Source organism: Homo sapiens, chromosome 4 (genome assembly GCF_000001405.40).
Source record: "Homo sapiens chromosome 4, GRCh38.p14 Primary Assembly".
In the NCBI taxonomy this organism is placed as follows: domain Eukaryota; kingdom Metazoa; phylum Chordata; class Mammalia; order Primates; family Hominidae; genus Homo; species Homo sapiens.
This window is the reverse complement of record NC_000004.12, coordinates 7,779,277-7,795,866: the sequence shown is the minus strand read 5'-3', so window position 1 is coordinate 7,795,866 and position 16,590 is coordinate 7,779,277. Positions and strand designations below refer to the sequence as shown.

General features: G+C 45.8%; 1 protein-coding gene across 9 annotated transcripts in view, besides 3 other annotated features; it reads left to right on the top strand.

The window, feature by feature from the left end:
* AFAP1 (actin filament associated protein 1) overlaps nt 1–16,590 on the top strand; it is a 181,149-nt gene that overhangs the window by 143,995 nt on the left and 20,564 nt on the right. For 5 of the 9 annotated variants that reach the window (NM_001371091.1, XM_006713909.4, XM_047416061.1 and 2 more), the window contains 2 exons: nt 2,041–2,186; nt 9,556–9,673. In NM_001371091.1, coding sequence (NP_001358020.1) covers nt 2,041–2,186; nt 9,556–9,673 — 264 coding nt within the window. Of the gene's footprint in view, nt 1–2,040; nt 2,187–9,555; nt 9,674–14,239; nt 14,492–16,590 lie in introns of all 9 variants that reach the window. The other 4 variants (XM_011513544.4, NM_001134647.2, XM_017008535.2 and 1 more) reach the window with 3 other exon arrangements.
* Nucleotides 3,002–3,081: an enhancer, noted in NCBI's record as "active region_21279". NCBI's record gives its function as "activates an Ori minimal core promoter by ATAC-STARR-seq in GM12878 lymphoblastoid cells {active_cell/tissue: GM12878}" and the evidence as "EXISTENCE:reporter gene assay evidence [ECO:0000049][PMID:35858748]".
* Nucleotides 3,192–3,261: an enhancer, noted in NCBI's record as "active region_21278". NCBI's record gives its function as "activates an Ori minimal core promoter by ATAC-STARR-seq in GM12878 lymphoblastoid cells {active_cell/tissue: GM12878}" and the evidence as "EXISTENCE:reporter gene assay evidence [ECO:0000049][PMID:35858748]".
* Nucleotides 13,007–13,167: an enhancer, noted in NCBI's record as "heart enhancer 19". NCBI's record gives its function as "activates a minimal c-fos promoter by transgenic reporter assays in zebrafish embryonic heart {active_cell/tissue: heart(embryonic)}" and the evidence as "EXISTENCE:transgenic organism evidence [ECO:0001131][PMID:20075146]".

Sequence of the window (16,590 nt, the reverse complement as noted above, 5' to 3'; positions counted from 1 at the left end):
CTGTGAAGAAAACAATTGGTAAACTCTAAAGTAATAATATCAATTACATCTTAGATATTAATTGTATTAAAACATTTTTAAAATGCTTTGATGAAATGGTTATAGTGACATAGGTATAGATTAATCATGGATACATTCTCAATATAGATTTTGTTTGCCGGGTGCTGTAATCCCAGCACTTTGGGAGGCCGAGGTGGGCAGATCACAAGGTCAGGAGATCGAGACCATCCTGGCTAACACAGTGAAAACCCCATCTCTACTAAAAATACAAAAAATTATCCGGGCGTGGTGGTGGGCACCTGTAGTCCCAGCTACTCGGGAGGCTGAGGCAGGAGACTGGCGTGATCCGGGAGGCAGAGCTTGCAGTGAGCCGAGATCACACCACTGCACTCCAGTCTGAGTGACAGAGCAAGACTCTGTCTCAAAAAAAAAAAAAAAAAAAAAAAAAAAAAAAAAAAAAAGATTTTGTTTTAGGAAGGACATAAGACCTGTGAAGAGAACACATTTGTGGTTTTTTTTGTTTTAATCCAGGTATTCAAATCAGTTCATTTTAATTTGGCAAACACTGATTCTCTTTTACTCTCTGTAAGGTACTTAATGGGCACTCCTTCCCTTTGTCCTCATGGCCTCATTGTGTATATGGTTAGTAATGATTTGTTATATGGAAAATATCACTAGCCAATTTCTCAACATAAAAAGTAGCTGCTTGTTTGTTAACATCCCTTCCTTTAGAGAGGCCTTTATACATTGCATGGAATATTTACAATTACTTATATTATGATCAGTGTTAAACTTGTCAAGGTTATAATTATAAAACCCAATTTTCTTTAAGCTCAACTTAGAGATCTTTATTTAAATTAGTAATTTTTATAAGCAATAAATTTTTTTCTTCAACATTCAGTTAACTCATAGATTTGATAGCTTAATTTCTCCTAAACTTTAACCATTATTTGCATATTTGATTAATCAAAATTTTTAAAGATTTCAAATACCACTAAAAATGTAACTGATTTTCTAAATCACTTTAAAACAATGGCTTAAAGCTGGGCATGGTGGCTCACAACTGTAATCCTAGCACTTTGGGAGGGTGAGGTAGGAGAATCGCTTGAGCCTGGGAGTTCAAGACCAGCCTGGGCAAGATGGTGAGACCCTGTCTCTACAAATAAAAAATAAAAAAATTAGCTGGACTTGGTGGTGAGCACCTGTAGTCCCAGCTGCTTGGGAGGCTGAGGCAGGAGGATTGCTTGAGCCTAGGAGTTGGAGGCTGCAGTGAGCTATGATCACACCACTGCACTCCAGCCTGGGTAACAGAGCGAGACCCTGTCTCAAAAAAAAATAAATAAATAAAAGGATGGCTTAAAAATTGAACGAACATAATCTTAAAGACATATTTCAGACTTGCAAATTAAGCAGACCAAATGGAGGAGATAGCAAACATCTTAAAAAATGGTGTGCCTAAAGCAGCCCAGTGATTACAGAGTGTCATTTCCCCTGTGGAAACACAATTGATATCAAAGGAAATTACTTTTTTATATCATCTAATCAAGAAACTAAATGACCATTTCAGGCCCATGTAGGGGGGCTCACCCAGGGCTCCTGGTATAAAAAAGTTTGCGACCAGTAAAGGGCCTGGAGCTTGGTCACGCTTCCCAAGTCAGGCAGCAGCAGCTGGGACGTGCCCCTTCTCATGGTCAGGTGGTGTTGCCAAAGGCACCCCAGCAACTTCCTTCAGCCGGGATGCAATTAATCCTGTTAATTTTCCTGTCTTACACCCTAGTGCCTTTCCCCACAGTAATGGGAAGGCAGTTTAGGACCTCAGAGTTTCATTCACCTTTGGTGTAATCGGGATGACACTTCCTAAATTAAGGCCTGCTGCGAACGTGACGTTAATCCCATCGCTCAGCCATCTTCCTTTTCGTTTCTTCTTAGGGACATCATGTTTCATCGCCTTTCCTATTATGTGGTCTCTTTATTGACACATTTATGAAAATGTAAAAATCTTTAGTTAAATACAGCCTACCTTTTTTCCCACTTCAACAGGCATCTTCTTCTGAAGACATGGGCAGGTGGATTGGGATTTTACTCGCAGAGACGGGATCGTCCACAGACCCGGAGGCTCTGCACTATGACTACATTGATGTGGAGATGTCTGCAAGTGTCATTCAGACAGCCAAACAGACCTTCTGGTAAGACCCACTGCCATGTGAAATGGCACCACAGTTCAGTAACTGTCTTTTCCCTAACTTAGCTTAACTTAGTTTTTGTGTGAGGATATAGACCCAGAAGAAAAACTAAAGACTTTCCCTTTTGCATTATCTTAAGCCAAATTTTGCAGAAATGTTTTTGTCGTGTCAGCCCACTGGGTTTTCTATTCGAGCAGCGTGTGGCAAACTTGCATGAAGGACTTAGATAGTAAATATTTTTGGTTTTGTGGGCCACACGTTTCCTGTTAATAACCACTCAGCTCCCGCTGCAGCTGGACACCGTACATAAACGAATGGGTGTGTCTGTGTTCTAATAAAACTTTATTTGCAAAAACAGGCCGTGGCCTGGATTTGGCCAATAGTTTGCTGACCCCTGTATTAGGGGAACAGTTCTACGAAGCAGAAATGATTCTACATATTGCTGTAATGAGGACTGAGTTTTCAAAGCTATCCGTCAAGTACTTTGTAAATTTAAATTGTGATTTTTTTAAAAAAAAAAATGCTGCAGTCATCTATAAAAACGTCCTTTTGAACAGTGAATATTTCTTTAACATAATGATGGCAGAATATTTGTAGCAGCAGTTCTTGGTATGGTCCACAGAACCCCTGGAGATTTTCCAGACCCTTTCTGGCAGTCTGCGGGGTTAAATTATTTTCATAATATACTAAGACATTGTTTCCTTTTTCCACTGTTGGGACATTTGCATTAGTGATCACTGGCTGGCAGCTTCGCACCAATAGTCGCCCTTCGCCGTATGAATAATCATTGTCACTGCCAATGTAAATAGTCAAAGAATTTTACCATTTGCGATAGTAAAAGAAAATGCTGGTTTCACTTAAGATGTCCTTGAGGAAGCAGTAAAAATGATGACTTTTTCTATAAAGGATCAGATAGTAGACATTTGCATGAAGGCTCTGAAGCCCGTGGGTTTTTCCTGTTCTGCGTAGCGTGATGAGAGGCCACAGAGAGCATGCAGGTGTGTCCAATGACAGTGGTCCTGTTGAGGAACAGCTCAGACAAGTGAGGTGCTCATAGAACTAGCTGCCTTGATTTTTTTTTATTTTTACTTTAAAAAGCAACAGACAAACTAGTTATTTGCACATAGGCATTTGCAGATGTTTTCTTGAAAATGAGCTAGCTACACCCATCATCTCTAGGCAAACAGTTGGCAGTATTTGTTGCTTATGATACATTTAAGCTTTCCTTAGAAATTAGAATTCTGGAAAATTTGCATCTGCCGTGGTGAGCTTGCCGGCTACTCAGCACCCATAGACTCCTGCTGAGATCTGTAGTCATGTCAGTGAGCAGTTTTTTTTGATGTTGTATAATGAAGGGGTCAACATTTGAAAGATCGGCAGAAGTCATGCTTGGGGAAAGATCTATTCCTAGTGCAAGATAAACGACTGGATTTTAATGTGAGTCGATTGATCTGCTTTCCGACTCCATGGCAGTTGGCGGTAAGAGACCACCACTTGCTGCGTTTTGGTGTAGTCCCGAAGAAGTGTCACTACAGCTCAGAAAAAGCAATTAAAATGTGCCCCACTTGTCCGGCTTACATGTGTTTGAGGCTGGATTTTCTTCACATACTTCAACCAAAAGAGCATTTTGTGACAGAGGGCAGAAGCAGGTGTGAGAATCCAGCCACCTTCTATTAAGCTGGACATTAACTGGGTTTACAAACATGTGAACACTCTGCCACTTTCTGGTTCGTTATTGGCGTTGCTGGACATTAACTGGGTTTACAGACGTGAACACTCTGCCACGTTTTGGTTTGTTATTAGGGTTTTGTTGTTGTTGTTTTTTGTTTTTGTTTTTTTTTGATTAAGGGTTGCCCAGGCTGGAGTGCAGTGGCACAATTATGACTCATTGCAGCCTCAACCTCCTGGGCTCAAGGGATCCTCCCATCTCAGCCTCCTAAGCAAATGGGACTACAGGCATGTGCCACCATGCCTGGCTAATTTTTTTTTTTTTTGGTAGAGACGGGGTCTTATTATGTTGCCCAGGCTGGTCTCAAACTCCTGGACTCCTGGGTTCAAGTGATCTTCCTGTCTTGGCCTCCCAAAGTGCTAGGATTCCAGGCATGACCCGCGATGCTACTTTTAAGTGAATAACAATGAATGCATTTCTCAGGTTTTAATTTCAAATCCAGCAGGTATTAGGTAGGGCATCTTGGCTTGGGTCCTGCTGTGGTATTTACTAATTAGAACAATTTGGACAAGTCATTCATTACCTGTTAGTACCTCTGCTGCCTTCTGTAGAAAATAGAGATGGTGGGTGAGATAATCTCTGAAACTTGCAGCTCCAGCATCTTTCACCCCTTGACTGCTGCATATGTTTCTCTCATCCTTAGAGAGTTGGGACTGGGGTGAGGGAAGTGAATGAAAACAAAGCTGGTCATGAATTCCATCATCAGCAAGTGAGGAGAAACATACAGACAGCTGCTGGCAGACCTGCCAGTGCTGAGATTACACGACCTTTCAAGTGTGAAGAAGATGGGCTCAGATGCCTGTGCTGTTGTGTTGTGCCCGTTTAATATGAACTCCACCATCTAGTTTTTCCACACAAGTGCTATTTATGGGGAATTGGAGCAGTCTTCCTTTGTGTCTTGAATGGTGAATGGATACTCATTTAATGCTTAGCTAGGACATTCTGGGGCTAAGAAATAGTTCTCAAAGTGAAGATAACTTGGCCCATTTTAGGACTCAAGCCACATGTTACATACACCCAGCTAAGGTCAATAGCCTTGACAAGTGGAACTAGTCTTGCACAGATTGTCCATAAAATCCCCAGTAATACTGGAGGTTTTCTACAGTGCACACTGTTCTCACCACTGTCCTTTTGTGTGGAAATCAGGATAGATGTAGTCTAGTACTTACCGTTCTGTTTATACTAATTATTGTTTAATTATATTCTTTCTAATCAGCAAAATATAGGTAAATTATAATGATTCTCCAATTCTTTAAGTACTATGCAGTAAAGAAAGCACATTTAAAGTGTTTTTAAAGAGATATAAGATCCGTAAGTCTATTTTTGCAAAATCTGCCCAACTAGCAGACATAAAAGTGGTTATGGTTGTTCACTATATTTATTTGGAAGATACTAAATTTCCATAAAAACCTATCCTACGTCCACATGTAATTGCAAGTATAATCAGCACGCCGATAACCACATTTAAGAGAAACCCTGAATTAAAATCGTTGCCCTAGAATACAGCTTGGCTTTTACTTTATAAATGACTAGAGTATTAATCTAAATCAAATGTGGCAAGGTCACATTTTTGAGAAAGGAATGTAGATTATAACACTAAAAATATTTATTAAAAATATGCATGTAATGAATTTATGGCTGCAGGAATCTTTTCTACCTCGTTAAAGTCTTTATAGGAGCTGTCAGTTAGCAATAAAGCTTATTTTCAAGTTTTCTAGCCAAACACTCCTGTAACACTTAAGAGAGATGAGATGTGACAAGGAAACAGTGTTCAAAATATGGTTGCTTGCCAGTGTGATGAATATTCTAAGATTAAATGTTTTGCTTTTATATAAACTGGCAGCCAGTTAATGAATCTTTTCAAGGTTCTTAGGAGAATTCTTTGTGCATTGTACATGACTGAGGAAGAGACGGCAGTAATATATTTTGAAAAGAGGAAAGTGTAAGATAATAATGGAGATTCTCCCAGGAAAAGTGGGATACTTAGGAACTTTAATAATGGTAAACAATCGAAACATATTTTCCTGAAAACCTATTTACAATGAGATACATAAATTATACAACACAGGAAAATACTCCAGAGTTTTCCTGAAACTCTCTTCAAGTCACACTCAGCTGGGAGCCCCTCAGGAAGCAGTTGGGAGGATGAAGAGAACGGAAAGCAGGGGCTGGTGCGGAGCATGGGGAGATGCACGGATGGGGTGGTGAGGATGAAGAGGATGGAAAGCAGGGGCTGGTGCAGAGCGTGGGGAGATGCATGGATGGGGTGGTGAGGATAAAGAGGATGGAAAGCGGGCTGGTGCAGAGTGTGGGGAGATGCACGGATGGGATGGTGAGGATGAAGAGGATGGAAAGCAGCGGCTGGTGCGGAGCGTGGGGAGATGCACGGATGGGATGGTGATGATGAAAAGGATGGAAAGCAGGGGCTTGTGCGGAGCATGGGGAGATGCACGGATGGGGTGGTGAGGATGAAGAGGATGGAAAGCAGGGGCTGGTGCGGAGCGTGGGGAGATGCACGGATGGGGTGGTGAGGATGAAGAGGATGGAAAGCCGGGGCTGGTGCGGAGCATGGAGAGATTCACAGATGGGAGGCAGTTCTCTTGGCCACCCTTTCCTCGGAGTCCCGGGAGGTTATTGTGAAATAGCTCCACTTGACTCTCTCCTGGTTTTGGTGTAACAAGTGGCATGTGGCCTCTTACTTCATTTCCACTTCTGTCTTTGGCTGCAAATCCTATTGTGGAAAGACACCAAGCACAAGACCGAGGCCTCGTGTTTAGTTGCGACCTCAGGCCCTGCCCTCTTGGGGACTGGGCAGAGTTGTCCTCACTGGGCCAGGTCCCTCTCTGTAGGGTGAAGGGTGACTAGCTGCTGGCTGAGGCCTCCTCCACTTAGGACATTCTGTGTGCCTGTGACCCCTAATCCCTGTGCTCCCAGGTCCTGCCAGATGAGCCTGTCAGAGGCATCCTGCAGTGGCTCTTCCCAGCACAGAAGCAGGAGTGGAGCCCCCCAGGGCCTCTGTTCTGACCCCATCCTTTGTCCCTGCTGCAGCAGGGTGAGTGCAGGGCATATGCTGGAAACTGAAGATGCAAGCCCGTGAGAGACGTGCCTGCCGCTGGAAGGAGAAAGACCCAAGGCAGTACGGCCCAGGGCACAGGGGAGGGGATGGTCCCTGTGGCCAGGCTTTATTCATTCCTCCATTTACTGCCTCTCGCTGACAGAAAGTATACATAGCGCTGTCTCCCTAAAAGCCTTCCAATGAGGCATTTAATTAGAAAACCTTAAATATGTATTTTTTAAAAATCAAAATCTTTTACTGTGGAACTCTTAAATGTTCAAGTTTTGCTGTGCCTTTCCTTCTTGTATGTTTTCTTCTTCATTTTATTTTCCTACGTATACTTTTATGTACTTTAAGTTTAGCATATATTAATTTTTTATAAGCAAAGGAAAAAGTTTATAAATTATAATTGAAGAATGTGTCCAGGCAGCAAGCCGTGCATGGCGTCCCTCCCCAGCATGGGGCGCACACGCGCTCTGTGAGGAGCCATTTCCGCGGCCCGCACTGCTGAAGCCCAGCCCGGAGCCCCAAGCCCGGTACCTCCCGAGGCTACGCTGCCAGACTTCTTACCAAAGAGGCGGGCTTCACTTGCCCCTGTGTTTCTCTCCCCGGTTTTCACTTACGCTGTGTTTTCTTCATCTGGTGATCACAGAAGCGCAGGATCCTATGAAATACCCACACTAGCAGGAAATGCTGTCAGGGTGGTCCCTTCCCTGGGATTTACATTATTAGTCCTGACCCGTGGCTTCGGAACCCGGCCGAGGCTCTAGGCACCTGCCCCTGCGTGAGGACCCCTGTGTGTGCCCGCATGGTCCCTGCGCTCCTGAGGCCGACCCTCCAGTGGGGAGAGCAGGCAGGACGCAGATGCAGGGCGGTTGCCCTGGGCCCGGAGGGGAGGGAGGGGCCGCTGTGGGGCTGCGGGACGGGCCGCCTCCTGGGGGGCAGCACCCACGCGGAGACCTGGGTGCGAGGGGTGTCAGGAGAGGAGTTCGGCAGGCAGAGTGGCTGGGGGAGCCGCGAGAGCCAGGGGAGTGCCGGGGCACCCAGGAGACTGACCGAGCGCAGGAAGCCACAGCGCAGGGACGGAGCAGAAACCCAGTCCCTCGGAGCCCCGAGGCCCTGGGCAGCACCTTGCGACTTCAGAAGCCCCTGGGGGTGTTGGGCGGAGGCTGGCGTGGCCCGGCCTGCCCTCCTTGAAGGGGAGTGAGCCGTTCCCTCACCACAGGCTCCACACTGTTGGGCCTCACCTCTGGCCACTAAACGGGCAGGTCTTTCCCATGCCCAGCAATTCTCTAGGTTTCTGTGGGCACCAGCTGGGTGTCCTAATACATGAACTCAACCCTCAGTGGTCTTCCGGGAGGCAGCGTCAGGCTCCCCAGGTTAAGGGCCCAGTCCACAAAGCTGACTCCACTTCAGATGCCAGTCACAGGTCCAGGATATCACCTGTGCGTCTAACCAATAGGTTGTGAGTTGGAGGTTCCCACGACCCCTCCCCTCCAGTTCAGTCATTGCTAGAACGCTCACAGAACTCAGGAAGAGCTTGCTTACTGGATTACCAGTTTACTATGAAAGGACACAGTTCAGAAGCAGTGAGGGAAGAGGTGCGCCGGGCAAAGCATGTGGGGCACAGCGCTCCCGTGCCCTCGCTGGGCGCACCACGCTCCCGGCACCGCCGCATACACACAGTCCAGAAGCTCCGGGAACCCCATCCTCTTGGGTTTTTATGGAAAGTTCCAGCCGTAATCACAGGGTTGGTTTCCCTGGCAACCAGCTCTCATCCTACTCTTCATGTATGAAATTCCAAGAGTTTTAGGAGCCCTGACCAGGAACTTGGGACAAAGACCAAAATACATATTTATTACGCCACAGTAGCACACCTTCTAAAGGATTTCTCGGGCCGCTGTCAGCGGCTCTCAGAAGTTGAGGAAATTTCAGGGAAGAGGTGAAGAGATGTGGGGTGGCAGTGGTGCTGATTGACTACTAAGAACTCCATAAATATTTGTTGAATGAGTGTTCCAGAAAGCTTATAGAACAGGGGTCCACGAACTTTTTCCAAAAGAGACCAGACAGTAACTTTCAGCTTTGCAGGCCATGTTGTCCTTCTGGAAGTAACACACTTGTGAAAGAGGCATGTGTTCCAATAAAACTTTATTATGAACACAAGCTGTGAGAGGAGTTGGCCACTGTGAAAGACGGATGATAATCAAAACGCTTGGTATTTCTGAACACCTGTTATTTGCAGACTTTGCTGCGTGTACCTAGCGTTGGGGCCACAGTGAGAGACGGATGATAATCAAAACGCTTGGTATTTCTGAACACCTGTTATTTGCAGGCTTTGCTGCGTGTACCTGGTGTTGGTTACTGGCGATCTGTGCCGCAGTTCTGCAGATTATGTGCCATCCTAATTTTATAGGACAGTCCCTCCAGCGCATCATCTCATTTCTGCCGAGATTCTGTCTAGTATTTCTTCTCTGCCCCTGTGACCTCTGACATAGCCTTGGGCATAAAGTCAGAACTCATTAAAGACTTGACTGATTGGAGTAAAAGGTGGTCAGGTTATGGATTTTAACGCATTTCCTTTCTTTCAGTTTCATGAACAGGCGTGTTATATCTGCTAACCCATATCTAGGGGGCACCTCCAACGGCTATGCCCACCCCAGCGGGACGGCACTTCATTATGACGATGTCCCGTGCATCAACGGCTCGGTGAGTGCCCTTTTTTTGGAGTAATGGTTGGTTTTGTTAGAGGCCGAGGCTGTGAAAATTCTGTGCTTCAGTTCCCCTGGTTTCAGGTCTGAATAAGGTCAGCTTTTTAATGCTCTGAGGCAAGGAGACTCCATCTCATCTCTGTTCTCCTGGTTTCTGACATGCTGTTTATCTGAATCTGCATTTGAACAAGTGGATAGTTTGAGGCTAGTAGACAGTTTGTCATTTAATGTCACTGTCATTTTTCTGTTGGTGTTGAGGTAGGGTCCCAATCTGTTGCCCAGGCTGGAGTGCAGTGGTGCAGTCACAACTCACTATAGCTCAACCTCCCCAGCTCAGTCGATCCTCCCACCTCAGCCTCCCAAGTAGCTGGGACCGTAGGTGCACACCACCACATCCCACTCATTTGTTTTATTTTTAGTAGAGATGGGATCTCCCTATATTGGCAAGGCCAGTCTTGAACTCCTGGGCTCAAGTGATCCTCCCACCTCAGACTTTCAAAGTGTTGGGATTACAGATGTGAGCCACTGTGCCTGGCCTAATGTCGCTGTCACTAATTAAATGTGTCAGCCCACTAAAATATTGACTAAAGGAGAACATGTTAGAGTAATACTTGGATAACTTGTTAAATCAAAACATAGCACAGTATAGGTTATCAATGAGTAGTTATTTCCCGATGGGATTAAAATGCTGTGAAATCCCCTCAGGAAGGAAATGATGACATAGAGGAATGACCACATTACAAATTCGACAGCTTACCTTGGGGTGGATTTGGAGGAGCCAGGCTCCTGGCTCCTGGCACAGCGCTATCTGTATATCCATCTATCCATCTATCCATGCAGGAGGTGTTTAGTAACAGCTTTCCCTGTTACGCTGGCCTCGGGGGTCTGTCTGGCCTTAGGAGTCCTGAAGTCTGTTCTCAGTGTGTTGTGTCTGTGTCGTACGTGTAATCAGCAGGCCTCATCAAGTGCTGGTTCTACGGTGTCTGCCTGTTACTCATCTCACAACCGCGTATTGAGCATCCTGCCTGATCCAGGCACGGTGCCCGGCCCTGGGCGTTCAGAGATGAGGCCTTCACAGTTAGCAGATGAATGAAGGAGGCTTGTGAGAAACCAGTATGCCATTTGTCTCCCAGTACTGGGAGGGTTTGAAATTGGCATCTATGTTAAGATAATTTTCAAAGGTAGACATAAAGTAAATTTATTGTTATGTTTTCCAAGGCTATGAAATAGACTTGGAAGGTATTTCAGACTTTTTTCTTACTGTTTTGATTCTCCATTCTTTTCCCCGATATCCTGATGAATGTCCTCAATCAGCCCTGGCATCGTAAATTCATAGCTGCCCCACAGCAGGAACCAAGAGACAACAGCCTCCTTGAGGGAAGAGAGGGGCTGAGGACCCCCAGTGCTCAGGAGCATAAACAAACTGAAAGCAGGTTCTAGTGGCCGGGGTCGGAAGTGGGTGGCCCATCCCTCAGGAGCCACGATGGACGCAGTGTGTCCCTGGGGCTCGGTTGCCTTCCCATTGGCCGCCTCCTCCTTCCTGCTGCTCTGGACCTGCCCTGGGGTTCCTGTGGGGGAGGCCGCCCTTTCTGTGCGAGGCCCCCACCTGATTCTAAAGAGGGATCTTCTCATCACTTGATCTGCCCCCTTCCCTCCTCAGTCCTCTCTCCCTTGCCTTATTGGCTGGGTGTCTCCCAGTGGCCAGACTCTGTGCCAGGAGTTGAAGAAGAAATGGTGAAGCGATTGTCTTTGTCCTGAAAGGGCCTTTGAGTCTCATGGGGGTGAGTGGACCTGGGAGGGAAACAGACATAGGAGCGGGGAGAGCTTCCTGGGCCCTGGGCAGGGCAGGGCCCGCTTGTAGGTCCCATGTTAGGACAGGGTGGCACGGGGCAAACAGAGCCACTTTAGGATCCCATCCTAGCTTCAGAGTCCATCCAGTAGAGCCCCCCATCTTAGGCGGAGGGGTATCAGGTCCAGTGAATCTCCTCCTTTCCCCCTCAGCCAATCCTCCCTGGGGTGTCTCTGGGTGCCCACAGTCACCACAGCACTCCACCCCTGGGTAGGGGCTTGTGCGAGTTCTTCCTGCTTAAGATGGCACCATACCAGCCTGTGGCAGGCTCTCAGGCTAGTTCCTGCCCTAGATTCCAGCCCCTGAGCCCTTCTTCAGGTGGGACCTGCTCTTCTGCCTCCATTTGCCCTGTGTCACCCCAGTGTCTCTTGACAGCACAGTCTTACCACTGGATTTAGACTCCAGTTACCACACTCATCTGCATCCTGAGAACCATCCACTTCTCTGAGCCTGTGTCTAGCCCGTCCCCCCCAAAGACCCTTTCACACGCCTTTTCCTCAAAGGCGTTTCTCCACATGCACGCCTTACACACGAACCTGTGACTGTGAACCGGATGCTGTCTTCACCCTGTGGAACCACACACGTGATCATCCAGCTCCACCCAGCCCGTTTTATTCAGACTTTTATGACACTCTACAGGCCACCCCCAGGAGCAAGTGTTCTTTAGGCTATTCACAGCTTCATCTGTTGTAGAAACAAAGGTCTGCCATTCCTAAAGGGCTCTGCATGTAGGAATTGTTTGTGTGTGTGTATTGCTGGGCTACATGTTTGTGGCTTCCTTGCTTATTAGGCCTTCCTCTGCCCAGGCCCTTCCTGAAACTATTTTCTGTGTGTTCGGCTCTGTTACCAGCTCATCTCTTTTTGGAGGGCCTCATTTCTAGATTCTTAAAAGTTCATACTTATAGCCAGGCGCGATGGCTCAGGCCTGTAATCCCAGCACTTTGGAAGGCAGAGGTGGGCAGATCACTTAAGGCCAGGAGTTCGAGACCAGCCTGGCCAACATGGTGAAACCCTGTCTCTACTAAAAATACAAAAATTAGCCGGGCATGGTGGTGGGTATCTGTAATCCTAGCTACTCAGGAGGCTGAGGCAGGAGAATTGCTTGAGCCTGGGAGGCGGAGGCTGCAGTGAGCTGAGATTGTGCCACTGCACTGCAGCCTGGGCAACAGAGCAAGACTCCATCTCAAAAAAAAAAAGTTCATATTTATGACCTAATATCTGGCATCGTGGCACTGTTTCAGCTTTAGTAATGTTTACCCAACGTTCCCCCTGATGCTTAGACTAAGATGAAAGTGTGCACACTCACATACTTTAAACTAGAAACTTCTGTGAGGTCTCTGTAGGTGTTTTTCTGAGTCTTCCGTGTGACTTAATCTTTGGTATTTTAGGAAAATGATAGTCTCGTCTAGACCGTTTTAATAACTCTGGACAAATATATGCTAGGTTGTCATTATGAAACTCTCATATCCGAGTTTATCTGCAGGAGCCGTTATTTTTAGATCACAAAAATAGACACATTGAAGTGATTGCGGAGGAATACAGACACTCCTACTGCAGAATTTTAAGTCTTCTCTATTTTTATAACAAAAGGTTGTAATTACCGTCTGGCAGAAAGGACTATGCAGGAAGACTATCAACGGGGTAAAAGGAATATAAGAGAGGAATTAATACTGCCTTTCTTGTCATGCCAGGCGATTTATAAAGACCTTTACCCCTGAAAAGGCCCTGGCTGTGGTTATCAGTTTTTGAGTTAATACTTTAATACCCATGTTCTCAGATTCCTCTGTCCCATGCAGTGGCATGTAGCTATTTTAGTCCTTTGTTAGAGATTTTCTGCTAAAATAAAACCATTATATCCATTAGATTTGGAAGCATCTAATTTTCTATGAGGATTTGATTTCTCTTTTCACAGACGGTTTTGCTTGTGTTGGTTGTGGCACTTTCTTCAGTACAGAGCAGGGGACAGAGGGGGTTTGTGTTGACAGTTCCCATAGGACTTGGGTCACTGACTCCTGCACAGGGGCTTGGAGGAGCCTGCAGGTGGTCTCATGTCCCCAGAAGGAGCGCGAGGCTTAGCGGGAGCACCGCGTGGGGATGAGCGCGCCCTTCCCTCCGCTCTGCCACTCACCGGCTCCAGGCCCTGTCTCTGCTTCCATTTCCCCCTTTTTCCCCGGATGACTGTGAGACGAAGTCAGCGTCCAGGACGTGAGAAGTGCTGTGTAAAGCATCGGGTGCTCTGCTAGGACCTCGTGTGTCTTTATGTAGACCCAGAGCACCAGGCCCCTGGTCCCATGCTCATTCCTCCCCTTCCATCCACGCCCTGCGCTAGGAGAACTTCTGAACCCCAGGTTCTCTAAAGAAGGAAATGCCAAATCAACATTGCTTTTTCCTTTAAAAGAAAGGACAAAACAAAAACTTCATAATCCAAGAGTTCTGGGAATGGTTTAAGGAAAAAAAAATTTTTTCCATAAGGCTTCAGAAGTCAAGTCCTTTTGAATCCACCTGCATGCTTGTGTTGGGTCTGTGTGTGTATGTGTGTGGGAGGGGGGTGGTGGGTGCATGCCTTATTGATAACAACTGCAGTCTGTGTGCAGGAGAGTGTTGGGGTGCCAATGTATGCTAAATGCCGTACTATTAATAAATGACATCTCACTGTGCTAAAAGCTGCTGTTTCCTGTGTCCAAGTCACTAACCACAAAGCTATGTGTGTTGCAGTGGGAACCGGAAGACGGCTTTCCTGCTTCCTGCAGCAGAGGCTTGGGAGAAGAGGTGCTTTATGATAACGCAGGCCTGTACGATAACTTGCCGCCTCCGCACATCTTTGCCCGCTACTCTCCTGCTGACAGAAAGGCCTCTAGGCTGTCTGCTGACAAGCTGTCCTCTAACCATTACAAATACCCTGCCTCCGCTCAGTCTGTCACTAATACCTCTTCTGTGGGGAGGGCGTCTCTCGGGCTCAACTCGCAGGTACGGCATCTTCTTCTGTAAGATTCTAGAACCACCTTCAAGTCACATTGCTCCAACAGAGTTTTGCAACTTGTAGTAAATGGGACTCATCAAAGGCAAAGCATAATGTGTTTTTTTTTTCTCAACTAGAATATAATTTGCAGCCTGACTACCAAGGAACTGATGAGATATTTCTAACGAGCTCATGGTTTATCTGAGCACTGTGTTTCTTTGCCCACATCTGGCTCTCTTTCTGTTCTTGGAAAATTCCCCAGTGAAATTTTGTGAATTATGTCAACTAAAGGCAGAGAAGTTAAAAAGAAACGGGTAATAAAACTTTCCAGAAGATTCTTGAACAGCAAGTTTCTTTACTATGTTTCCATTACACTTAATGAGGAAGGGTTGACTCCGTGTAGTCATTGCTTTTGATCTTTAAACATGAAATAGATTATTCAGAGTGTGGTAGTGTTTCTCCATGACAAGTCTAAAGGTATACTCCCAAAAACTAGATGATGATAATAAGGACTTTTTAAACATGAAATAGATTATTCAGAGTACGGTGGTGTTTCTCCATGACAAGTCTAAAGGTATACTCCCAAAAACTAGATAACGATAATAAGGACTTTTGATGACCATTGAACAATAATAACCGTGATGTTGAACTACTGTCCATTGCACACCCTGTATCTATGGCAAACAGTAACATTTCAGAGTAATTTTGTGGTGTTAGGCCTTTTTAAAAAAAAAAAAAAAGATGAAGTCTCACTATGTTGCCCAGGCAGGACTTGAACTGTGGGCTCAAGTGATCCTCCTTCCTTGGCCTCCCAAGTAGCTGGGACAACAGGCACATGCCACCGTGCCCAGCTTATCATGCATATTTAACCTAAGAATTGTTCATGCTTTGCCTAAAGACCTAAGCCCATATGTAAGAATATGAATATATAGCAAATGGGCATGTTTTAAATATTTGTTTTTTCTCCATTCTTTGGATAATCTTAAGAAAATAACCAGATAAAATTGTAGAATTATAGATAGTAGTGACTTAGAACAGTAGCTCCCAATAGGTCGGCTTCATCAAAAATCAAATGCACAGGTTGGTGTTGCTTTTTGATTTTTCATGACGGTTGTTCAGATCCCATCCCTGGGGATTCCCATTCAGTGAGTCTGAGTGGCCCTGAGCTAAGTGTAGTTGGGGACCGGGGGTAGGGGAGCCGTTGGCCTCTTTTGAGGACTTATGCCAAAAAGTTGTCAGGTTATGTGTTGCACTCACTAAGCGAAAGTTTCTCCCTCTATGTTTCTACATGTCTTTTTATTGGCATTAGAGTTGCCTTAGGTAAAACCCTGCCACACAGTTTGCCATCTTGCACTCTTGGATTGTCCCCACATTGGTTGGGAATCATTTGATGTATGGTTCCCCTGTGGAGTGTTTGTTACTATTGTCCCCTTTTGTTTTGTTTTTGTTGAAATAGGAAACATTTTTGCAAGTTAAATTACATGACCTCTGGGTTTCCTGTCCTCATTTGGTCATTTTAATGGGAACCTGTTTTTAATGGCGAGACCTTGCACTTTCTGAGCACTTATGTGCCATATGCTCTATCCATGTATGGCACGTCATCTGATCTTTTTAGGAACACTGTGGGGAGGTATCTCTTTATGTTTTTAAATGATCAAATGGCGGCTCAGAAAGTTTAAATAACTTGCTCAACTTCTCCTAAATGATTGATAGAGCCAGAATTTGGAGCTAGATCTCTCTGCCTCCCAAAAAGTGAGGCCTGCAACAGAAGGAAGCTGTATCGTGGAAAAAAGCGTGGGCGTGGATGCTGGAGTGAGCCTTTGCTGTCATGCTGAATTAATTACACAGCTAAGCTGCACATAAGGTCACTTCAGCAAAATGCAAAACGTGTTGGCCTGTATCAGTCTCAGGAGTAGAGTACTATTTCACTTTTTCAGAAACCTGTAGTTAGTGGAAGTTCAGTTTCCATAGTGTTGCTGCTGTGCCTGTGTTATGCTTCTCTTGCTTCCTTCTGCGGACTCCGTCGGCGATAAGAAGGCGGTCACTTATCCCAGTAGGATGTCACTCAGTGTCAAAGCACTTGGAGCAGCAGAACTCACACTGCAGG